This window comes from Homo sapiens, chromosome 8 (assembly GCF_000001405.40).
Source record: "Homo sapiens chromosome 8, GRCh38.p14 Primary Assembly".
Classification (NCBI taxonomy): domain Eukaryota; kingdom Metazoa; phylum Chordata; class Mammalia; order Primates; family Hominidae; genus Homo; species Homo sapiens.
In genome coordinates this window covers 64,752,779-64,779,263 of record NC_000008.11, presented here as the reverse complement: position 1 = coordinate 64,779,263, position 26,485 = coordinate 64,752,779, and the positions used below count along the sequence as shown (strand labels likewise).

The 26,485-nt window shown below is 39.4% G+C and overlaps 1 protein-coding gene across 2 annotated transcripts in view, besides 1 other annotated feature; it reads left to right on the top strand.

Annotated features, from left to right (window-relative positions):
* Positions 1 to 26,485, top strand: part of CYP7B1 (cytochrome P450 family 7 subfamily B member 1) — a 212,163-nt gene that overhangs the window by 19,474 nt on the left and 166,204 nt on the right. The window lies entirely within an intron of this gene.
* Positions 22,200 to 22,409: an enhancer, noted in NCBI's record as "active region_27457". NCBI's record gives its function as "activates an Ori minimal core promoter by ATAC-STARR-seq in GM12878 lymphoblastoid cells {active_cell/tissue: GM12878}" and the evidence as "EXISTENCE:reporter gene assay evidence [ECO:0000049][PMID:35858748]".

The window sequence follows — 26,485 nt, the reverse complement described above, 5'->3', positions numbered from 1 at the left end:
TTAAATAATGTTTCTAATGTGATGCAGTTCAAACTCACAATGTTTGACTTCAAACTTAACTTCTTAAGTTTTTTCCTTTTTTGTATTCTTTTTAAATCTCTCTTAAAACAATGTTCTGACATTTGCACTCCCCCTTTACTAAAAATGAAAATATTAAGAGCTAGTACATTTTAAGCATTGCTAGAAGAAATGTAAGTATGATATGAATACACACATTTACACACATTTGGACTTTTTAAAAAGAATATATTAAGCTTAAGAACAAAGCAGGCAAAAATGGTCTGCTGTCTCCTTCTTGCACTAGATTGTGTGAAAGCCACACTTGACGGTCAACATTGGCAAATGCCTTTTTTGCTCTATCCCATTTACTGGCTATTGCATCCACTTGCTTACTGGCTTAGTAGAGGTTTGGGGTCTACTGTGTGCCTAGACTGCCCTATGTCAGATGCAATGGAAAGCAGGAGAGAAGATGCAGGAAGTTGCCTTGTGACATAAGGGTAGTAGCCAGGCAAGAGTCACATCTCAGTCTTTCTGAAAACTTGTAAAATTTGATTCAAGATTTGTTTTCAAAAGTAAAACCAGATTGAAGGAACCTGGAATCAAAGGGGAAGGATATTTTCACCCCCTGGGAATTAATTATAGACAGTTTAGTGTGTTTCTCATCTTAACAATCCTTCCTAAATGGATTATGCAAGCTGTTGCATGTGTCATCGCTGCAGTTACTATTGCACTTAGAGTAGCAGCATTAAATATTGAATGAGAAAGTGTTACAGACAGTTCAAATATTACTTTATGTACCAAAACATAGTGGTTCCTGATATGTCTCTTGTTGCTTTCAGGTCTATAGCAAACTTTTAATCTTGTTTTGGATTTTGAATGACCTTTTTCACATGGGCAAAGAATCTTAGCACTGAATACAGAATGCAAAACTTTGTCCTTATATTTCTTTGTAGTCATGCATGCAGATTCTTTCACTTACATGCATGTATATGTGTGTATATGTAGTATATGTATATACATACACTACATATACACACACATGTATAAATATATGTGTGTATACATATATATATATATATATATATATATTTCAAACTAGTTCTACCCTTTTTGCTTCTCAGTGTGTTGTACCATATGGTGTAGAGCATCATGCCAAAAGATAAAAATATTCCTAGAACATATGAAATCACCAGTCAACTGAAGAAGGGTAAGGACTTTTGACCAAAGCATTTATGACTCTGATGTACTTGCAGGCAATAGTATATGGCATAATACCCACAATTTTAAAAAGAAGACATATTTTAAAGTTAAACTGACTCTTACTTTTTAAGGGAAAGAATCCAAAAATAAAGTCTTTGAAAATTTTATTTTTTTACAGAAATTGATTCAAATCAGTGTTTTTTTTTTCCTATACTGAAATTCTCCATATCCATTTATGGAATTTGCCCTGATTATTTTAATCTCTAGAGTTACCATACAATTTGGCTCTTTAAGTTTTCAGAAGCAGAGACTTGGAGATGAAACCCGCTGCAGGTGGATGGAGTCTTTGGGTTATAGATAACATGGCCATTATATAGTTTTCTAACTTATTCCATGGGTAACACGTTTTAACTAGTAAAGTGCAGAAGATAAGATTTAACAACATTCCTAGGGTCTATGTAATAAAGTTGTAATGACAATGTGATTCGGGCTGTTTCTTTTGCATCAATAAATAATAAATAGTCGGCACGTGGTCCATGATATGCCATATTTTGCTACTCAGATTTTATTCATTTTAGGGCTCAAATTGACCTGCATTCCTTTATGCTACATTGAATATTGTTTTCAACTTCTTAATTAGACAAAAATGGGGAAAAAACTTAAGTGGTTAATTTCCTAGCTGAGGCTTGAGCATATTTTTTACTAGAGAAATAAACTATTGCATTAAATAGCGTAAGTGCTATTGCTATGAAATTTCTGGGTAGCAGCTCTGTAAATAGTGCTCATGTTATATGCCAAAAATCCCATCTTACCCTTCATGTCTTTGCTAATTATGCTTACTCACCTTTTGTATTTAATCACCTCTAATTTTTTTTTTTTTTTTTTTTTTACAAAATGACCCTACCTGGGTTTACTTTTTACATGATGGATCTATAATAGAGAAGATGTCTTTCCTCACCTATTGCTAAGCTCATGGCTGAGATCCCAATAACAAAAGATATATTAACAAGAAAAAAGCATGCACATTTATTTAGTATAAGTTTGATATGACACAGGACCCTTCAGAAATAAAGACCCAAAGGAACAGGAAATTCTATGTATTTTTCTGACAAGTTTGATGAAGAGTAGACAATTGTGCAAAAGTATGATTGAACCAAGGAGGTATTATCTAAACTGAAGGGCACTTTGCAAGTCCTGTTCAGATTCTTCTTGGCATCTCTGTGTCTTTGAGGATAAGGTTGTTCCTTTCCTCTGGGTGTAGGGAGGGTATCTCTGGAATTAAAGTCTTATGACCTCCTTTAGAGGAAGGGCAGCTAGGTCTTACGACCTGCTTTGGGGAGAAGAAAGGAGGGGAAGATGAGAGTGACTTTGCTGCTTCTGCTGTTTTCTCAAATGCCATGCTGCCATATTGTGGGGGAGCATATGCTAAACCCCACCCCTTGCTAAAGCACATCTGAGTAATGCCTCTCCTCATTTCATGTTTATTAGTTTCTTATAAAAAGGAACACGATTGAATTGTCTCAAGTACTGTGTTTATATGATAGGGCAAGAGGGTTTAAAAGTATTTTAGGATAATCAAATTTGTGGGACATCTCATGCCCTGTGTGTGACAAATTGATAATAATGCTAGATTATTTAATCCTGAAAAATTGGTTGTTCTTTATTTGTCAGCAACTTAAAGTTTTCTAATTGTATTTAGGATATGCATAGATGCATTTGCAAACTGACCTCCTTCTTTAGAACAGATAATTATCAACAAAAGGAAAAACAAGCAAGAAACATGCAGAGACGGCATTTCTGTCAAAGGATGACTTTAGAAAAGGACCAGAATTTGGGCTCTGTCCAGAGCATACTTTTTGCAGGGTCTGTGAAACATTGGTAAGATCAAGTAAAGAAGCATCAATGGCAGTAAGCACTTTCCTCTTCGAACTACTGTTTCCAGGTCTTCACTGGAATGCTACAGTTACAACCAGGTCTATAAAATAACTAAGAATACATCTCCTTATTGAAAGAGAAAAAGTAGGACCATGCTGTTTATGAAGTAAGCATTAATGGAGCACCCACAGCAGAGGAAATGGCATGACAACATTTGTCACTAACTTTCTCTAAGGCTCAGTTTTCTCATCTGTAAATGAAGAAGCTGAACCAGATAATCATTTGGGAATGATATGATTCCACAAGGACATTACTATTCTCACATTTACCACCCCCCCAAATCACATACATTTCTGCTATGTGAAATGTGCCTGTCCTCAAACACACCATGCCTTTTTCTGACTTCATGATGGTACCCTTCTTTTCAGCATAAATGCTCTACCTCTGTGGAATTTTCCCAGCTCTCTCCCAGACAAAGTTCACTGTCTCTTCCCCTAGGTTCCCACAGCACGTCAGAATTCACATCACAATGTATTATAATTATCAGTTAATATATATTATCTCCTCTGGCCAGTATGTCAGCAACTAATATGATAATCAAGGTCTATTTTTTACTCATCTCTCTGTCCTCAGCACCTAGAAAAATGTCTGGCACATTGTAGGTCATCAACAAGTAATACATTAGTAACTAAGGAAAGAACTATCCTTAAATAAAATCAATGCCCAATCATAACATGGAAAACAAAGCCTGTGGACTATTTTCTTTATAGTCATTATTAGTTCCCAAAATGCCGAGAAACCTGAGAATACACAGTTTACTATAAGGAATATAACTCATTGGCTCCACTTTAGTTGGAGCTAAGGTGGTTATTTGGAATTCCTCTTAGACTGCCTGTCAAACAAGAACAATAGTTTCAAGACTCACTGTATAAGGATCACAAGATGCTGAATCCTAGAGTGAGTTCAGGCCATGAAAAACATCTCATATCTGAAGACTGGAGCAATGCTATTTCAGAGAATTAGAGTGTTTTTTTTTATGGAATTTATTTACTAAGGATATTTGGAGATCTAAATCAGAGACAAGAACTCAGATCAGATTGGAACTCAGTTCAGAGACAAGAAAACCATTTGTAAAAACAATTTGGATGAAACTCTTGTTACAGAAAGGAAACAGAGAAGGTAAGATATTTGACCATCTATATTTATACTTGTTTGGAATGTGTCAGGTCAAGATATGGCAGAGTGCTAAAGAGCAGGGCTTTAGAATCAGAGTTAAGGAGGTGTTTGAATACTAGCTCCCTTACTTACTTGAGGTGAGACTTCTCACAAGTTATTTTACCTCTGAGGATAGAAGAAGTTTTGGAGGCAAACAGTTGATTTTGGAAATGTTTTATTGCCCAGACCCTTGAAGGAAAGCAGATATGCACTATTCAGTAAATACTTATTGAACTCCTGCAATGGGAAACCGTGAGGCAAGTAGAAATGATAATAAGCTCCGATTTCTGCCACTAAGGGGGTTATAGCCGAGTTACAAAGACTAGTATAAATATGGGACCTGTTTATACCCCTCTCCCAATGTTCACACTTATGTGTTCTATTAATTCAAGGTTGCTTAACAAATTCAAGATTTGTCAGTGTTTTTATATGTAGTTTTTTTTTACTTGATCCCCTGAAGTTGTGACTTGCACAAGGAGGAGAGTTAAGGCTACTAGTAACAACTGTTCCTATTGACATGACTTTTCCAACAATCACTAAGGCAAAAGAAAGGGACTGTTGATACCCCAATATCCAGCTTCCTAATCTATTAGTCTTTCCATTTGTGTCTTCCTTTCAGTTCAAGTCAACAAGTATTTATTGGCTACCTACTATATACATGCTTTGTTAGCTACTGGTTACATAGAGATGAAAGTCAGTTTCTGTCCTCAAAGAACCCTAAATCTATAGAGGTACGTAAATAATCCAGAAATTCCATTACATGATATGCTAGGTAATCAGGATAGTGATAAGCCACAGAAAAACAATTGCTGATAATTTAGCTAGATGGGAGAAATTGTTAGGAGTCAGACTTACTGGACTTGGTGTTGGACTGGATGTGGGAAAAAGGTGGGAGAGAGGGAAGGTATAAGGATGAACTAGGCTTCTGATATGAAGGACCGTACTAGGTGCTATGGTTTGAATGTATCCCCCAAAGGTCATGTGTTAGAAACTTAATCCCACTTCCCTTACGTATGACTTAATGTTGCATCTGTCCTCATGAATGGACTGATGGATTAATGAGGGCTCTGGCCTCGTGAATGGATAAATGTCACTGCCATGGGAGTGGGTTATTTATTGTGAGAGTGGATTTGTTATAAAAGTGAGCTCTCTCTGGCTTTCTTGCTCTTGCCTTCTTGCCATGTGATGCCCTCCACCATGTTATGACAGAGCTAGAAGGCCCTTACCAGATACCATTGCCATGCTGATAGAATTCTCAGCCTCCAGAACTGTGAGATTAATAAACTTCTTTTCTTTGTAAGTAACCCAGTCTGTGGTATTCTGTTATAGCAACAGAAAATGGACTGAGGCACTGGGTTATTCAACAAGACAGAGACAGTATAAGAAGATGAGGTTTGGGGCTAACAGAATAAGCCTACTTTGTTGAACATTTTGAATGTACAGTGTCTATGGGATACCCTGTTGTACTGTTATTTTTTGCAATTGTAAACATGCACATTGGAAAGCTGAAGAGTAGGCGTGTGACCTAAAAATATTTTACTTTGGATTTTTTCAAACTGCAATTGATAGGGAATATCCCATTTATCTGCGATCCTGAAGCTGTAAAGATATGAGCCTGGGAATAGTTTGCAGCTATTTGCCCTATCTAAAGAGAAACAAGTGTACATTAGAAGAAATTAAAGCTGATGAGCAGAAAAAACAAAGAGGATATAGCTGAAAACCATCATCATTCATTCTGAGTTTCAAATATATACCAGGCATTGTTTTAGATGCTTGGAAAATACCAGAGAACAAAACAGACAAAAAATATCTGCACTTATGGAGCTCACATTATAAGCAGATATTAATTTTAAAGCACAATAAATACATAGATTATCATATAGGCAGTGATATGCACAGTGGAAAAAATATAGCAGGGTAAGAGGGATCTGGAGTTCTGGAAGTGGCACTGGTGGTAACTTTATGTAGGGTGGTAGTAAGATTAGCTCTCACTGAGAAAGTAATATTTGAGCAAATAATTGGACAAAGTGAGAAGGAGGAGATGGGATATCAGTGGAGAAAGCATTCCAGTCAGAGGGTACAGCCAGTGCAAGGACAGTAAGGTGGGTTGCTTGATGTCCCTGACAAATGGTAAGGAGGCCAGTGTTGTGGGAGTGAAGTGAGGGAACTACATATTTACTGAAAATCAGACCATTGTGAGGCTTGATTTTTATTCCTAATGAAATGGGGATCCATTGAAGGAATAGGAAAAGAGGAGTCAGGTAATTTGATTTTTGTTCTGAAATGGTGTGCAGTAGACAGGGTAGAAGCCAGACACCTGTAAGTAGGTTCCAGAGAAACAGAACCAACAGGATGTGTGTGTGCGTGTGCGCCTGTGTGTGCATAAGAAAACTGTAAGAAATTGGCTCACATGATTACTGAGGCTGGCAAGTCCAAAATCTGCAGGGTGAGGCAGAGCACTGGAGACTCAGAGAAGAGTTAGTGCGGCAGTTCAAGTCTCAAGGCCATTGGCTGCAGGATTCTTTTCTGCTCCTGGAACTTCTTTCTGTTCTATTCAGGTTTTCAACTGATTGGATGTGGCTGGCTCACACTCTAGAGGACAATCTGTCCTACTCAAAGTCCATGGAGCTAAAAGTTGATTTCATCCAAAACACCCTTGCAGAAATATCCAGACTAATGTTTAACCAAATATCTGGGCAATGTGACCCAGACAAATGGATGAATATATGCCAAGCCATCAGAGATGGGATCTTGCATATGAGAGGAGGGTTGGGTTTAGGCAGAGGCATGGATTATTTCCTTCATAGAAAAAGATAGTAAAGGAAGGCATGGTGTGCAAAGCTAGTTGGTGGATGATGGTGGTGCTGAGAGTCTGTAAAAATTCTCTTCAGATTGCTTCAATTTTCTTATCAAATAGGAAGCAAGGTCATCTTATGAGAGTGACATGTGGGATGAGGTCTTAGGAGTTTGGGGAAAGAAGGGAAGGTGTACATTACTTGTCCAGGAAAGTGGATGAGTGAATGGAGTAGGGAATATGGTATGATTGCTGGACAGGATGCAGGGTCACCCCAGGTTTGTGGTCATTAATTTTAAGTGACACCAGCAAGATTGTATGTTTTTCTCTGTCCATGTTCAGCTGCATGGGCAAAGTATGGAGCAGGCAGAGGATTGTGCTAATGGAGTTATAGTTTTGTCTATAAGCTTCATGTAGAATGAGAAGGAGAACGCAGTTGAGAGAGAGAGCCAGGGAATGATTATGATGATTGGCCATGGAATTTAAGCTGGGAAACAAGCAAGAGACTACAGCACATGGGAGAGGGACTCAGAATAGGTGGAGGGATCAAAAGACCCCTGAGGGCATTGACCCCTGCACCTGAGGCCAGTTTTAGTTTTACTCCTGACCTTAGTTATGTAAGCACATTCTTCTTTGTGTGTAAATTAGTGTAGGTTGAGTTTCTGTTATTTGAAGCTGAAGAATTCTATCAATTTGGCAGAAAATATAAAGAAAAAAAGAAGTGAGAACCTAACTGACAAAACGTGTAGACTCCAAACAACTCAATGTTCACAGTGTATCAGAAATATTATTAAAGCATGTACATTTTTAAAAAGAATGAGGCTGGGCATGGTGGCTCACGACTGTAATCCCAGCACTTTGAGAGGCCGAGGCGGGCGGATCATGAGGTCAGGAGATCGAGACCATCCTGGCTAACATGGTGAAACCCCGTCTCTACTAAAAATACAAAAGATTAGCTGGGCATGGTGGCATGCACCTGTAGTCCCAGCTACTTGGGAGGCTGAGGCAGGAGAATCACTTGAACCCAGGAGGCGGAGGTTGCAGTGAGCTGAGATTGTGCCACTGCACTCCAGCCTGGCGACAGAGCAAGACCCTGTCTAAAAAAAAAAAAAAAAAAAAAAAAAAAAAAAAAGATGCTGATATCCCACTCTTGAGATTCTGATTCAATTAGTGAAGATTGAGGAAGTTGTTTTCAAAACTCCCCATATGTTTAGAACTATAGCTCTAAACCATGTCAACTAAGTTCTTAAGTGACAGCTTCAAATTTTTAGATGCTGCAAATTAATCTTTGAACTAAATGATCAACTAATGTTTGGATTATCTCTGCATGCTACTGGGATATTTATGGGGAAGGGAAAGCGTGTTTAGATTTCCCCTGGATAGATTTTATAGCTCTAGCAACTAGCCATGGGGAGAGCCTAAGGAGGCTGGCACATGGACTGTGGGTTCATCCACCCAATGTGTGTAACTCTGGTGTGCCAGGCACTCTTGAGCACCAAGGAATGGCTGGCTGCCACTCTCAAGGAGCTCATCCTTGGGTTTTTATTTGTGTTGTTTGTTTAATGTTTATTATGGTGAGTATATTGGTTTTAGATTTATTGTTCAATAGTTTTATTTTTATGGTAGATGAATACTTTATTGCATATTAAGTGTCCTTAAATAATCAGTGTGTAAAGTATGCCCCTTTTAATAGGTATTTATAACAGGGCAGAGAATATACTGGAAAGAGCTTTGGTCTGCCTGTCAACAGAGCTGTGCTTGAGTTCCATTTCCATCATATCTCAGCTCTGAGATTGAAGACAAGTTCTTCACCCTCTTTATGTCTTAAAGTCCCCATCTGTAAAATCAGGGGCTTTTCTGGGAACTCTAAGATCTATTCCAACTCTGAAACTTTATGGCTTAACTATAGTTTAATTTTTTTCCAAATTTTTTTTTGAGATTTAGAGGTTTTCTATTGTTTGGTTTTATGGCACACGGTTGGTCTCATCTATGATTTATATATCCCTCCATGTTCTTAGAGTAGTGCATGGTGCCAGGTGGAAAACATAAATGGGCTTGATGACAATCTGCTTCCCAATATGGCTTTTAGGGATGCATTGTGGTGAAACTGAGGACATTCACACACATGCGTCCACACACGCACACACACACAAATGTAATTGAGACTATTAACAATAAAGATGAGATAAAGAAGGATGGTAAGAACTTTGGGACTTGCTGGACTTCAGAAAGGAAGGAGTTGTCCTACCGTTGTCCCCGTATTGTTCTGTGAAGACTTGAAGGTGGTGGTACTTGGCCCACTGTTTGGAGAATGAGGTGGATGTCAGTCTTCAGGAAGAATAGACTTTTGGGTGTATGCTCAGTAGGATGGGGGGAATGAAGGTGGAGGTGTGGGTTAAGGCACGGAGACAGGGAAGTGAAGATTACATTTGAGGGAGGAGAAAGCGATCAATTTGCCTTGGAAGAACAAAAGGAAAGTCTGGAAATGCAGAAAGTATGGATGCTGAACCACATAACAGCAGATGGCATTGCTGTGAAGTATACTGGATGGAATACATTCAAGCGTTAATATTTAATTCTTTTTGTGGAAGGTCACACAATTAAAATTTAATTGGGCATGGAGGCTTAGGACGGGGTAAAAAAGTCTTTAGAAAAAAATGGAATACAAAATTGGGTTTATGCTGCCCTGGGAGGATACACAGAGGATAGGGTGAAGGTAATCAGGTTTTGGGCTCTCAACTTTTATAGACTTTATTTTTTTTCTAACATTGTTAGCACAAAAACATGCTCGTGTGCCAAGGAGTCTTTCCTACTTCATCTTTCACAATATTCCAACTCTCATTGAATCTTACTATTGTCTCAAGGTATAAAAATCTCTTGGCTGGGGAGAAAAAAGTAGAGATTCAAATATTTGTGTTTGTTATGATGTTTTCATCAAGGCATGGTGCCATCCCGTTCCATAGATCTTATTATGAGATTAAATTACTATAAATTTTACTTTTTAGGTTTAAGAGTAATATATCACAATGTGTAATGCATTTATTTGGTTTTACTCAATTGTTTGCAACTAATGATTGTGATAATTTAACAATAATCTGTCTCAGAAAAACATTTTTAAGAATGTGATGTCATGAGCATTAAAAACAATATTTTAAAATTTAGTATGTATAATATTTGTTGCAAAAATGTATGATGGGGTGGGTGATCCATAAAAAAACTGATGTGTAGATAAGAATCCTGTGCAACAAACTCATAGAGTTTGCAGTTTATGTTGGAAAGCCCACCAGGAAGTTAGAGCCACTCAAAGGTAGGTGATTCTTTTATTGAGGGCTTTGTTTTGTTTTAGTTTGCTGTGGTTTGGCTTAGTATTTTTAATGGTGAAGTCAGACATTTGTTTGTTGCCTAAAATTGGGAAAACCTTTGAATTAAAGCTTAGCCACATACCACCATATAATCTTAGATAAGCTACTTTGCTGCTATGGGTCACATAAGTAAATTGGACACAATAAGACTTATCTCATAGTTTGACATGAGGCATAAATGAGACAGAAGATGTTAAGTGCTTAGTAGAGTTTCATGTGCACAGAGAGCTCTAAGTGAACGATCTCTTTCTTTTTCTCTCATATGTGAATAACTCGATGATTGTTTATCAATTATTAAGTGAAATGTGACTTTAAAAAGCAGCCTCTCAGAACATTATTACAGGAAAAGACTTAAAACATCAATTTTTTAAACAAACTAAATATTGAAAATGCATCAGAAGAGCAAATTACTAAAGAATTGCTCTCTGAAATGTAAATAACACTTTTTTTTTTTTTTGGAGTTGCACGATTTAATAGAGTGAAAACAGAGATCCCATACAATGGGAAGGGACCCAGAGGGGGTTGCCCCTCCTTGCTTGAATGCCTGGGTTTATATCCCGATCATTGTCCCTCCCCCTGTGCTCTCAGGTGATATATGATTTGAGTATTTCTTTACCTCCTGCTTTAGCCTAATTTGTATTTTAGTGAACCCTCTTTGCTACCTGATTGGTCGGGTATGAGCTGAGTTACAAGCCCCGTGTTTAAAGGTAGATGCGGTCACCTTCCCCAGCTAGGCTTAGGAATTCTTAGTCGACTTAGGAAATCCAGCTAGTCCCATCACTTAGTCACCCCTCTCAACAGGAAAACCCAAGTGCTGTTGGGGAGGTTGGCCAACGACTGCTCTTAACTGCTTCCTGCTGAACTGGGGCGTAGTAGGGGTTGTACAGTTGAGATTTCCTCGGGAGGGATGCCTTCAATGTCATTAACATTGGAGCATGGGCTAGCAGGCTGGTCCAGGGGTCTGCGGTAGATCTTACTCATGGACTGCATCTAGGGTTTCATTTGAAGAACGATTTGTAGTTTTACAGCTTTGATTCTGGAAGAGACAAGCTTAAACAAGGAGGTTAAAGATACAGGGATTGAAATGTATGACCTGAATTGCAGGGGATTATTTCTTTGGCATACTTCACAGGCCCTGACTATCTGCTTGATAGTTTTGAAAAGGCCTTGTCCAGTACATAATGATTTGGCCATCTGATGGGTGCTATCAATGCCTAAGTGAAACGTTTGGTGAAGGGTTTTAAAATTTCCATTGGTTAGCTGCAGGCAAAAGTATTTTTCCTTCTTCGGGGCTAGCCATCCTGAGGGGAGGAAACTATGTCCTCGTGAGGTTCCCCGTTCTTTCTTCTGCTGAGTACTGGGGCTTGGTTTCCTGGAGGGGATTACCCCATACTAGGGGTCCTTCTATAAGCATTTCTAATGGAGGGTCCCGCCTTGCGGCTCTTTTGGCTTCAATATCCGCTTGGCAGTTCCCTTCTATTTCCCTTTCCTTTCCGATGAACCTGGCAGTGTAAGACTGCCACTTCTTTAGGTTTCTGTACTGCCAATAATAATCTCCTAATGGCTTCCTGATGTTTGACAGGTGTTCCCTCGGAAGTTAGGAATTCCCTTTCTCTCCATATTGCTGCATGGGCATGGAGGATTAGGTAAGCATACTTAGAGTCTGTATATGTATTTACCCTTTTTCCTTCTCCTAATTCTAGTGTATAATGGCCTCTGCTTTTGCTAGGATGTCTCTCCCTAACAAAGGAGTGAGGCTTTCAGGCATAATTAGAAAGGCATGTGAAAAGAGTAAAGTTCCCCAGTCACAACTTAGTGGCTGGGAGAAGTATCTAGTGACTGCCTGTCCTAGGACCCCTCGGATAGTGAGATATCTGGAGGACAGTTGTCTGGGACAGGAGAGTAAGACTGAGAAGGCTGTACCAGTGTCCAGGAGACAGTTTACCTCCTGGCTGTCAATGGTCAAGCATACCTGGGGCTCCGTGAAGGTGATGGCATGGGCTGGCGCTTGCCCTGGGCACCCTCAGTCCTGCTGCTGGATCATCTGGTTAGTGGCTTCTGACTCAGAGGACCTTCGTTCCCTGGGGCAGTGGGCCTTCCAGTGATTCCCTTGACATAAGGGGCAAGGACGAGGGGGTGGCTTATTTCTATTCGGACAATCTTTTTTAAAGTGTCCTTGTAGACCGCACTGGAAGCAAGCCCTATTAGGCATTCGAGTTGCCCAGCCTTTCCCTGTTCCAGAGCCTCCAAAGTCCACTTGCCTGAAGGCCATGACTAAAGCAGTGGCCTTTTTTTTTTTTTAATCCCGTTTGTCCCGTTCCGCCTGCTCCTCCTGATCTCTATTATAAAAAACCAAGGTTGCCAAGTTCATTAGGGTTTCTAAGTTTTGCTCTGGGCCTAAGGCAGACTTTTGAAGTTTTTTCTAATGTCGGCAACTGACTGAGTGATAAAGTTACCCTTTAAGATTAGTTGGCCTTCAATAGAATCAGGTGACAGAGAGGTTTGGTTCCTCAATGCCTCCCTTTGTCTCTCCAGAAAGGCAGTAGGATTTTCTTCCTTTCCCTATGTTATAGTGGACATCATTGAATAATTTATAGGCTTCTTCCTAGTTTTCCTTAGTCCTTCTAGCACGCAAGTTAGCAAATGTCTGTGGCACCAATCTCCATGTTCTGATTCTGCGTCCCAGTGAGGGTCTACACTGGGAACTGCTTGGTGGCCTGTGGGGAATTGTTCTTTTTCCTCTTTTGTCATCCTATCATTGACCTGACTGAGATACCAGAAATCGCCAAACTCTCAGGCTGCAGTTATGGCAGCACTTCTCTCATTTGGGGCTAGTGTCTAATCTAGCAGTAACAATATATGGCTCCAAGTCAGATAAAAGGATTGTCCTAACCCTTGTAAAACATCAATATAGCCATCAGGGTTATCTGATAATTTACCTAGGTCTATTTTAATTTGCTTCAAGTCTGAGAGGGAAAGAGGTACATGCACTCTGGGCCGAATTCTCCAGAATACATCTTAGGGGCGTTTTTGCCTTGGGGGGAACATTTCCCATCTGGAAAAAGAACATAGGGATGCCAGCACCCCTAGTCATTTTCTGACGAGCATTAGTCCAAGAGCGTCTTCTATGGTCCTAATGCTTACTCCTTTCCAGGGTGCGTAACCACCCATGGACCTCTGCTTATCGGATTAGTTAACGCTCACTGATGTAGCAGTCCTGCACCCCTTTTCTTGCCTTTGTTGACCACAGAAAAAGGGGTCCGGGCTGCTGGATTCTAGCAGTCCTTTACCAGTGTGCCCAACATTGCCTTTGTGCTCAGGGGTGAGTCCTAGAGCTGGGCTGGGTTCCTGAGTATTTCATAACAGCCCAGTTGCCCCATCAAGATGCATTCCCATAAACAACAGTTCTTATGCAAATTCATTTCATAGAGGGTGTAAGCAACCTTTTGAGCCAGGATTGAGATAGAGATTTTTAAAGATGATAACCATTTTTTTCCAATGTGAACTTCCTTTATGTCTGTGGACTAGACTGTCTAAGGCCGCAAGATTAGGATAATGCAGGTTACACTGTTAACTTTTAGCAAACTTTACTTTTGTTGAAAACCTTGTAGATTTAGGATTTCAATTATCCTTTGCTATTAATAAGACCTTGTTTAGTCCAAATTGACTTAGAATTGGTATAGATTTTTTTTTTTTCATCCTGCAAATACTTTAAGTCTTGGCTGAGTACAAACAACTTTCAGGTTTCAGCAGACCAATTATTAGGCAATTTTCCTAACTCTGCTTCTACAAGAGTTTCCCTATCAATTACTGAATATCCATTGTGTTTTTTTTTTTTTTTCCTCAATCACCTGGGAGGAACCATCTATCGTCCTGTCTAGGTCTGGTCGGAACTTTGTGTGGTAATTGAGATTTAAATCCCCTGTTAGGAAATCTGCAGGGTTTAGGGAATTTTTCAGTGGTTAATGTTAAATCACCTTTTTCTAACAGAATAGCACTATCCTTTTAGATTTTTTAGTTAGTAAGCTACCTTTTTGCTTTTTGACTTAGGATAGTCTGAACTGGTGAGGTATGCTCACAATGAGTTTTCCTCTAAAGGTTATTTTTCTACTTTCTTCTGTTAGCAAAGCAGTTGCCACTACAGTTTGAATGTATTTGGGCCATCTGTGGGTTACTGGGTTAAGAATTTTTGATAAGAAGGCTACGGGTTGTCTCAGTGTTTTCAGGGTATGCCCTTGTTTACACTGACAACAAGGTAGTATTGGAGTGTTACAGGGTCACGGAGAAGGCCTTCAATTATCAATTATAGGTTTTAAATTTACCCCAGCTTTTAAAGGAATAGGGCACATTGTTTTTTCTTTACTACTTCTATCTTTCTCTTCCTTTCTGTCTTTCTCTCTGCCTCTCTTTCCCTTCTTTCTCTCTCTGTGCCTCTGACTTACTCAATTCACTTTTATCCTGATCTATTATGTTGTTGTAGACCCAGTTCCAGTTGTTAAAGTACTGGGTTATCAGTTCTAAGGCCCTGACCAAGGAGCCAAGGCTTGGAGATTGTATTGCAGGGGGCGGGGGAAGGGGGTGGGGGGGGCAGCGTGGAAGCTGGGTAGAAATTCGGGGAGGAGAGCATCTTACACAATGGGAGAGCAATCTTCCTAGCCATTTACAAACTTGGGGCCCTGGCAAGAGTGGTGGGGAACGGGTCCCACATAACTGCCTATGTTGAGAGCTGTATACCTAAATTGGGAGGGACACCAGGGACAGGACTCCCTGGGTTCATAGCCTAGATGCCTAAGGACACAGTGTAGAGCTTCCTTAGATCTCTTTGGAGATACAACTTGCTAGAGGAAATGAAAGTCTGAACCATTAGTACCTAGGAGGCAGGGATCGGAGGAAGTAGATTCAGAGCTAAGGAGAATTTTGGGGCTACACTTTCAAGAAAGTCATGGTCGGGACCCAGGAGGTATGGGTCAGAAGGAAAGGTAGGGGCACACGCATGGGCGACTGTTGGGTAGAGACTTCTGGCTATGCCATGATCTCAGCTGGCTAATGCTGGGAGTTCGGGATGACAGCTTTCTGCCTCTAGGCGGCCTCGGCTTCCCCAGGAAAACTGAAAGTGGAATTTGGTTCCAGGCAGACCAGTGCTCCCAACCCAAAAGAGTTGGGGGTTGTTAGAAAGCCCTTCCCCAGACAGCCTCACACCTAAGTCTTAAGTCCGGCAGCCGTGCTAATTGTTTTTAACCGGCCAACAGGTGCCCAGTATTTTCCTCCAATTCTAAGGAAGGACAGGACAGAATAGCAAGCGAAAGTGGTCGGATATTACTCACTGCTTTAGAGAATCCCTGTATGAGGCCACCAAATGTTACCAGTGGGTCTTTGTTGTTAGAGTTCCCAAGACGGTGGCGGGCTGCTCCCAAGATGGTGGCATCCCTTTTGTTCTCTGACCTGGGGTTCTTGGCCTCATGGATTCCAAGGAATGGAACCTTAGGCCATGAGGTGAGTGTTATAGCTCTATTAGAAGCTGTGGGTCACAGAAGAGAACCGTGGAACCCAGCAACTAGTGTTCAGCTCGATTAGGACGAACCCAGGCACTTAGCTGTACAGGAACAATGGCGAGCCTTTAGCCCGATCAGGAGCAGCAATGGGCGCCTTGCTGGATCAGGAGCACAGTGGACACCCTGCTGGATCCGGAGGGGTGGAAGTCAGTGGCGGGTCTGCAACAGTGGCAAACAGCAGTGGTGGACGGCCAGCGAAAGCTCAGCTCGAGCCATAACAAACACGGAGCAGGAGAGTGTGCAGTTGCAAGATTTACTAGAGTGAAAACACAGCTCCCATACAGTGGGAGGGGACCCAAAGGGGGTTGCCCATAAATAACACTTTTTTATTCACCTTCTCTGTCTTAGATTTTTGTGCACTATGTGTACCTATTTATCTACTGATTAGAAACATCTGAAAAAACATATACTATTCACCCAGTAGTTTTACAATGAATAATAAAATAGGTAGAGAAGATATGCTGGAAGGAAAACTACTACAGGGTCTTTTGGTTAATTTTGTTCCTAAGATAAATCCATAAAACTGTTATATAAAAGCTGATTGGAGAGATTTGAACTTTTATGTGAATAATGGCCATGAAAAATGATTTTCTTTCAAGAAGGATGTGAGCTATTGAAATATATGCCCATAATACTGTTTAGATTTGTGCTATTACAAACAGTTGGTAGCCCCAGGTCATTGCATTATGAAACCACGTTTTCAAATGCATTATGAAAACTTAGTGAAGTAACCTATTTTTTTTACCTATTTGCATTTTAGTTTCTCACACTGATTCAACCCAAGTATTGATAACTCATTGTCTTAATTTCCTTGCATATAAATTATCAGCACTACAGAAATTTTAAAATGGGTGCTAGTTGTTAATATAAGTAATATTGGCTATTACACCTGTAACTGGAGACAAGTCAGAAGAGAAAATCAATACCATCATTCATGAACAGGTATTTTTATCCTGATATCAAAAATAATTGTAATACATCCTCAGTATTAAACTTCTGTAGCTTTACAGATAATCATTTTAGATAAGACTTATGTAGCTTTACAAATAATCATTTTACCTAACATAAAATTACAGCTATAATGTTATTATTAGTGCACTAAAAAAAGCTACTATAGTAGGTTTTTGGGCTCTAATTAGGATAATTACTATATTCTGTGGCTTTCCATAAGCTGAGTGTGTATGTTCTGTGCTATCATTTATAACAGTTTTAGCAAACTAAAGACATTTTTACATTTGAAAATTTGGAAAGCAGTTCAGAACTTCAACTTTGGAACATGCCTGTTTCCTGCTTCTCTCATAAACCTTGCATTTCTACTCACCATGGAATATGCATAGGAGCGAACAGTTTGAAGACAGTACTGTACACAGTTCACACAAGGTCTTGTTAAGAATATGGGACTACATCTTCAACCATATGGAGTGCTGAAATTTTGGGGAACAAACCCAAATGGTAATCTGAAGTCTTATTTAGGAAACAAAACTTGTGTGACTAGAAATAGACCAACTCCTAAATATATTCTGGTTTATGTGCATTCTGGTGTAAAACACATGCCACTAAGTAGGTCTTTAGGTGGTCAGCAGAGAGCAGGCATATTTTCTACCCAAAGAATGTGTCCGGCACTCTGGGAACTGACTAGACTCGTTTCTAGTTTGATAATTTCCAGTCATTTCTTTCCTAGTGACAAATCTGTACTTACATATATATACATTTTAAAAATATTATTAATCCCTTTGAGGAAATGAGTGTTCATTTTAAGACATTCCCCTCCCCCCAAGCTTTATTGACACATAATTGGTAAATAAAAATTATATATATTTAAAGTGTTTAACATGGTGTTTTATATGAGTATATCTTATGTAATTATTCTCACAACCAAGCTAATTAACATATACATCAGTTCACGTTAACAATTTTTTGCAGTGAGAGCATTTAAGATCTAGTCATTTAGCAAATTTCAAATATACAATATATTATTATTAATTTTAGCTACCAAGCTGTACATTTGATCTCTAAAACTTAGTCACCTTACAGCTGAATGTTTGTACCCTTTGACTAACATCTACCCATTTCCCTCACCTTCTAATCCTTAGCAACTACCATTCTACTCTCTGTTTCTCTAGGTTCAACCTTTTTAGATTCCACGTGTAAGTGATATCATCTAATGCTTGCTTTATTGTGTCTGGCTTATTTAATTTAGCATAATGTCCTCCAAGTTCATTCATGTTCTTGTAAGTGACAACATTTGCGTCTTTTTAAAGGCTGAATAATATTCTATTGTAATTTCTTTATCTGTTCATCCATTGACAGACACTTAGGTTATTTCCATATCTTGTCTGTTGTGAATAATGCTACAATGAACACTGGAGTGCAGATATCTTTTGAAGATACTAATATTATTTCCTTTGGATATATACACAGTATTGGGATGGCTGGATCATATGGTAGCTCTATTTTTAATTTTTTTAGGAACCTCCATACTGTTTTACGTAATGGGTATACCAATTTACATTCTCACCAACAGTGTACAAGAATTCCCTCTTCTTCACACCCTCATCAATACTTGTTATTTCTTATATTTTGATAATAGTCATCCTATCAAGTGTGAGGTGATATCTCATTATGGTTTTGATTTGCATTTCTCAGATGATTGGTGATGTCAACCACCTTTTCATGTACCTGGTGGCCATTTTTGTGTCCTTGATATAAATGTCTGTTAAAGTCCTTTGCCCAATTTTTAATTGGGTTATTTTAATTTTGCTATTGGGTGGTATGAATTCCTTATATATTTTAGATATTAACCTTTTATCAAATATGTTTTGCAAATATTTTCTTCCATTCGATGGTCCTTTTATTTTATTATGGTTCCTTTGTTGTGCAGAAGCTTTTTAGTTTGATGTAGTCTCACTTTTTTATTTTTGCTTTTATTGCCTATGCTTTTGGTGTCATAACCAAAAAATCATTGCTGAGACCAATGTCAAGGAGCTTTTCAGGCCTTATGTTTGAGTCTGTAATCTATTTTGAGTTAATTTTTGTGTATGGTGTAAGATAAGGCTTTAATTTCTTTTGCACAGAGATATACAGGTTTACCAACACTGTTTATTGAGGAGACTATCCTTTCCCCATTGTGTGTCCTTGGCAATATTGTTGAAGATTAGCTGATCATATATGCATGAGTTTACTTCTGGGGTTTTTATTCTATTGGCCTGTGATTCTATTTTTATGTTAAAACAATTTTGATTATGAATTATTACTTCAAAAATCTTATATCTACATTTTAATTATAAAAATTCTATAACATATTCTCTGAAATATTGATCCTCTCTTGGGCTTAAAAAACTGAAAATAAAATGGTGAACTTCTGTTTTAACTTTTGTATATTTTTTTCTAAAACAATCCATGTTACCCATGATGTGCAGCTATGATTGAGTGGAAAGAATATTTTAAAATAAATTTGGAGAGCTGGATTCAAATCTCTGGACTTTCAAGCAGCAATATCTTTCTCACTAATTAGCTGCCTGATCTTCATGTAAATAGCTTAACCACTCTGAGCTTCAGTGTTCTTATCTGTAAAATAAAGAATTTTGTATTCCATGATCTCAATGACCCATTCTAGGTCTGAATTTTCATTTTCATAAAAGTCTAACAGTTCATATTCATATCATAGTTTGATCATTCTCCATATTAAAAAAAATAATTTATCGGGTTCTTTGTTTGCTGGTTCTTGTAATTTGACATATTACTCTTCTTTCTTGCTGACCATTCTTTTGATTTTCAGTTCATTTCTTGTGCAGTCAACAGAGGGGAACACATGGGAATTTATTATTGCAAAATAGTATGAGAAGTATAGATATTTAGAGATTTAAGTAATCATAAACATCAGCAAGTCTATCCATTAAAAGCGACAAAAGTGATGACAGAATTGTTTCAGGGACTAGACTTTTGTGTAGAGGGAGGATTTATTAACTCAGAAATTAGCAGACTGATGACCTCTTGCATTTTGTCCTGTATGCCTCCTTGTAGCTCTGCCATCAGCCGTAATGTTTCTACCCTGATGTAATCACTAGTTTGCCACATTTAAGAATACATCTTTCATCCTGGCGAGCTACAGCAGATTCAGATTTCTATAGCTAGTTCCTCAATCATTGATTTAGAGCTGATCAGAGTAGGAAGCCCATCTTAAGAGTTATTTACCTTCTTCCTCCTTCCTTTTCTCACAGTACAGCAGGACTCCATGGTGTTTGGTGAACTTCTTGGTCATCAACACAATCACTTTGAGTTTGTCATGCTGTAGATGGTGGTTAAAATTGTCTGAATGTCCCAGATGGGAAGCAGTCTGACATAAGGAGCAGGGACTAAGGATTTGGCCTTTTTTAGCTGGGCAATACCGATCTTGTAGCCTCAGTAGTCCTTAGAATTTTTCATTTGAAATACAACAATAATCCTAGTATTACTATTGAAACAGTACTCTGGTTCATGCATTATTCCATCTGATCCTTACCACAGTGAAGAATCGAGGTATGAATTACATCCTTTTTACAGATGTAACATCTTAAGATAGAGGTTGACCTGCCCAGTTTATGCAGTGAGTTACTGTGTCTGTTCTTTGCCTGCTCCTTGCATTTTAAAATGAAAAAGGGAGACTAAAATTACATTTATTATTTCCTATATGCCAAAGATCTGGCTAGGTGCTTTAGTATATTGTGTTATTAAATATTAAATAAATTTAAATAATATTAAATATTCTTAATAACAATGTGAAACAAATTATTATCTCTGTTTGATAGATGAGAAAACCGAAGCTCAGAAAAGTTAGGAGAGATGTTTCAAAGCTACATAGCTAGTAACTATTTGAGACTTGAATCCAATCTCTTGGACCCAAGATAGCAAATGAATTTTATCTTAAGGATTAACTTTAGTCAGTTGATGGAGATTGTCTGCAGCAGTGGAGAGAAGGGTTCTGAGGCTGTGTCTGGGCTTTCTGGGAAAGAACATCTCATTCAGCCAGTGACATTTGTTACAGGAGCGAGGAGAGGAGACAGCACTCCAGCCATTTATTTTTCCTCCATAAAGGGGCAGTGGACTCTCTACTGCCCCTTTATTCTCTGCAAGCCTTTTGTTCTAGGTAACCATAGGAATAGGTGGTATCTTAGCCTGCATTCCCCTGAAAGCAGAGCCTGAGCCTGAAGCAGAGGCTTGTGCATAGGTAGTTTAATTGGGAATGCGACCCTAGGGAACAGGAGCAAAGGATGGGGAAGGAAGGAAAGAAACCAGTCCAAAGGTGTGTTATGGAGATGGCCCCTACTTGTACTTAGTATCTGGTGTGACTTTCTGAGAAGCTTCATGAAATGTGTCTGAGAACTGTCCCCATGGGAGGATCAAAGGGGCAAGAAGCATGCATGCACAGATTCCCATCCCATATTGGATGAAGGCAGTTCTGTGGGTGTTAACTCCTCCACGCTCTCCAGAGTCACATGTGTGAGTATTCAGGGTTTTATTGGAATGTCCCACACTGTAGTATCAAAGAAGCCCAGAGGCAGAAAGCAAGAAGCCAGCAATGCAGATCAGAGGTGAGGTACTGCCAAGTTGCACCTGAGTGAAGCTGGTAAAAGCCTGTGCTGAACTTGGTTAATGCAATGGTGGCTGATGTAAGAACTGGGCCTGAGATGATCTTGAAGTGGTGCCACATAGGACACTGACCATTGTTGATCTCTGTAGCTACTGTAGGCCTGGGAGTCTCCATGAACCTTATAAAGGCTGTATACATGCTAGGGAAATACTAATGCCTTTAGACTTAACTAATTTCTGAACTTTCCCTCTCACTATCCTTTTTCTATGAGAAATTTGGGCATATAATATCAATGTATAAAAGCATAAGCATGTTGGGCATTAATAATCCTATTTTATGGAATACCTATTATGTCCCAGTTTCTGTGATAGACTCTAAGTTCATGATCTCATTCAATCCTAGCCACATGACTGTAGTTGGTATTAGTCCTCTGCCTTGCACAGAGGAAACTGAGTGTAGGAAGCCAAACTGAATTGTCTGAGACTACTGCTACAGAGCAGTTGAGCTGAAACTCAAACATGCCTGCAGCTGATTCCTAAGCCCATATTCTTTCACTCTGCTGGTTGGTTGACTGGCAAAACCAGAAGGGCTTCCTCTTGTTTGGCCAATGCTTGAGCTCTCACCCTAGGACTCTACAAAATGAACTCACTTTTGGGACTCAGGCTTGTCAACATCCTCCAAGTGAGTCAACTGGAGACCTGGCTGGTCTCCACAATAAGTGCTGGAAATCCCCACTGTACGTCTGACTCAGAGATGTGTTTCTAAGCCCATAAATCTTTAAACCGTCTGGGTAAGCACAAACTGAAGATGAAAGTTCTTAGAAAATGCACTGTTATTTTCCGTAAGTGCTTGAAGGTCACATTTTCTCTGGCGATCAGAAACATAAAGATTAAACAGCATGTCCAAAGTTACAAAGAAAATTAGTGTCAACTTCTCTGAGTCTCAGTTTTCTCATTTATGAAATAAAGATGTGGATTTTATGATCCCTAAGGTCCCTTCCAAGCTAAATTTTATGATGCAGAGGCTACACTGAAGCAGATTGTGAGATGCTAGCGGGCAGGGGCATGGTTTCAACATTTCTGTTTTCTCAGCATTTAGCAGAATCTTCTCGCCGTGCCTTGTTCTTTCTGTGGTTTGCCACATGACAGCAGTATGGAAAGCTGGCAAGCCCCCATTCTGGTTCCTTTCCTCTACTCTTTGATAGTTCTTCCTATCCTGGCACCTAGAAATTCCGCTTCCAAAACAAACCCTGAGCTTAGAAAATGTTTGGATGTTTATTTCTACCTTAATGTGAAGGATCTTGTCAACATATTCTCTTTCTGGATGTATTTGCATGTTGACATGCTTGTCTAACTGTGAAATTAAAATATGTACCCAATTAAAGACATTTCATTAGTCAGTCAACTTCATTTTTGAAGGACAGGGCTCTTCTGAAACTCCAAAATCATCTCATTGGACATAAAACCCAAACTGCCTCCACATTGAAGACCAAGAAAGAGTTCATTCCATTAAGGACTAGAGGGGGGGAAATGAGGGAAAAGAGTTAAAAGTTGGACATGAAGTCGAATTACAGACATTGGGCACTACCATGGAAGCTAGACACTTCTTTCTCTGGTTATCTGCTGCAAAACCTCCTGGTATAAAGCACACAGGTGGACGAATGATGTAACTTTTAGAATAGGGCTCAGCAGACTACAGCCTGCAGGTCAAAGCCAGCCCACCACCTGTACCTCTTTTTCTATGGTGTACTAGCTAGGAATTATTTTACAGGTAAATATTTGCAACTGATTTGATGATTGAGAACACTAACTTAGAATTCCAATTAAGTGAAATGTTGACTCCCCCTAAAATAATTTCATTCTTTCCATTAGTAGACCTATATTACCAAAAAAATTGTACTAAATTATTCTTATATTTTAAATTTCATCAATGAGAAATATGTGGAAATTTTGTCCCCCTCTTGTTGTATAAATACCTACATAATATGATTGATTTTGCCTCTTGGTCCACAAGTTTAAAACATTTACTATCCAGCTTTGTACAGAAAAAAATTTGCCGGTCTCCAGCCTGACCAACATGGTGAAACCCCGTCTCTACTAAAAATATAAAAATTAGCTGGGTGTGGTGGCGGGCACCTGTAATCCCAGCTACTGTGGAGGCTGAGGCAGGAGAATCACTAGAACCTGGGAGGCGGAGGTTGCAGTGAGCCGAGATCGTGCCATTGCCCTGCAGCCTGGGGATCAGGGCAAGATTCCATCTCAAAAAAATAAATAAATAAAAAATAAAAATAAATTGCCGGACTCTGGTTAACAGGAAAAGAAACCAGACAGACAATGGATGGGATAACAGTGCTATGGGAGAGACTGAGGAAAGTGAAGTGCTGTTACAAATAAAATGGAAGAAGCAGAACGTCCTTTCACTAATCATATGAAGCACTTACATGGAATCTTTGAGGACTGGCTGGTTTCCCCTGACCTCTGCAAAAGTTTATCACCCGTGTTAAAACACACACATGCACGCACACACACATATGCACACACCTGGCAGTCAGCCTGCGGTGAGGCAAACGTGACCCTAAGCACAAATCTCAGGTCTGCCATGAACTTACCATGATTTGCCAATTTATTTCCCCTCTGGCCTCACCATAGGCCTCAATGACTCTCCATTCCCCAAAGTTGCTGGTGGAACTTGCAATCGTTAAAGCCAGTGTGTTTTCCACTTCTTGGTCTCCTTGAAAACTTCACCTCTGGTTCCCACCATACTGCTCTTAAGATCTTCAAGATCTTTCACTGACTCATTTCTTGATCTGAAATTCCCTATAGAAATATAGGCCTTACCCAAGGCTCAATCCTCAGCTCTCTGCTTTCCTTTCTTCACACTTTCCCTCAAAGATATTACTCCTCCTTAATTCTCAACATATCACTCCTCTGCTTAAAAACTCTGCAGGGGCTTTTCATCACCATGGCAAAGTTCAGACTACTGTCAAGGCCTTTGTAGCTGCACCTCCATCCCCAGGATCCTAATGGTCAAACTCACCTTGCCTTCTTCCCATGGCCTAGCCTTGCTCAAGGGCTTGAATCCCCTAACTCCAGGCCTCCCTCCCTCCCTACTGCTTGCCTGCATTGTCTCTCTGCTCACCTTTGTTGGACTTACTTCCTCTAGTCCTTCCAGTCTCTGACTTGACCCCTACTTGTTAAATTATCTTAAACATTTAAAGATTGTTTTAAATGTAATAGATTATCTTTGTGAGCACTTCAACTTACTGTTAGGGCAAGCACAGTTCCAATGATAAAACATTCCCAAGCCCTGAGACCTCCTGCAGATCTTAAAAATTAAATTTATTAATGTAATGCACCAAGTTGGCCTCAAATATTTCAATACTAAAAATATATTCAAGATACCCTGCATTTTTTGGGCAGGGCTTTCGTGATGTAATCATATCATGCGTACCACTCTCCTGTTTCAGACTCTTCCCGACTTCCCATTCCTCTGAGAATAGAACGAGCATCCTATTTAGAGCCACAGGGCCCACACAGAAGCCTCCTCACACCCTCTGTCCCCTCTGTGTACAGGCACCAATCACACTGGCCTCTTTGTTGCATGGACATGGTTGTGTATGGGGACCAACCACACTGGCATCTTTGTTGCATGGACATGGTTGTGTACGAGCACCAACCACACTGGCCTCTTTGTTGCATGGACATGGTTGTGTATGGGACCAACCACACTGGCATCTTTGTTGCATGGACATGGTTGTGTATGAGCACCAACCACACTGGCCTCTTTGTTGCATGGACATGGTGAGCTGGCTCTGCTATGCCCCCTTCCTCTTCTGACTGGAGCTCAGCCCTCACATTCTTACAGTGGGGTCAAGATTGTCACCCAAAGTGCAGCTCAAGTGTCACCTCCTCAGAGAGGCCTCTCCTCGCCATCCTTTCTAAAGCAGTCCTCTCACCCTGTGAAATGATTTCATTTCGTTTCTTTATAGATTTATCTGGTTTGAAACTTACTGGCTTAATGTATTTGTGTACTGGTTCTTGCCTGTTCCCAGTGACTACAATGTAGGCCTCATGAGGGCGAGAGTCTTGTCTATTTCACCACTGCCCTGGCCCCTGAGTTGTCCTGTCACGTATTCCTTCCTTTTGCGTGAATGGGCATACCTCAATCCCAGTGGTCTGACTCATTCTCTGCAGAGTGGTTTGCTTTTCCTCAAACTGGACATTAGTCCTTGGTGTGACAAGGTTACATGCTTGGACTTCGAAGAACGTCTACATATACTTGCTTAGTATATAGAAGAAACCAAGTTGGATTGCAAAGCAAGGAGAGCTGATGTGATGCTAAATGTTAACATAAAGCTTCAGATCTCAACAAAGAAGACAGACATTTTAGATGCTATCAATAAATTGGAAATCAAGAACAAACCCAGATAGTAGGTATTTGGCATTTGTTTTTGGCTTTGAAAAAAATGCTATTAATATTTTTAATGAGGAATTCTTTTCAGTCTTTCCAAATATAAGTCTATTGTTTATTTTTAAAAGAGTGTTAACCATTTAGAGAGAACCATTGTATTCTTGTACTTTATAAATAAAAGTCTTCTCTTTAAATCTTCAGTGGAAAATAACATTTCAAACACAGGAAAATCTTCATATTTGACCTTTAATTTTTGCACACTCTTTAAACTTTTTCAGATTGTTAATTGTGTGTGTGTGTGTATGCTATCTGTGTGTTCTCTCAACTTTCTTCTGATCTCTTTAATATGTAGCAGAAGTAGTATATGAATAGTAAATTACCAAAGCTTTCATCATCTCTAAGTGGAAAACCTAAGCCAGGGTATTCAGAGACAAGACATTGATGGCTGCCATTAAAGTGCAGAAGTTTCTCAGATTGCACTTTCTTTATGAATTGCAAGAGAAATTAT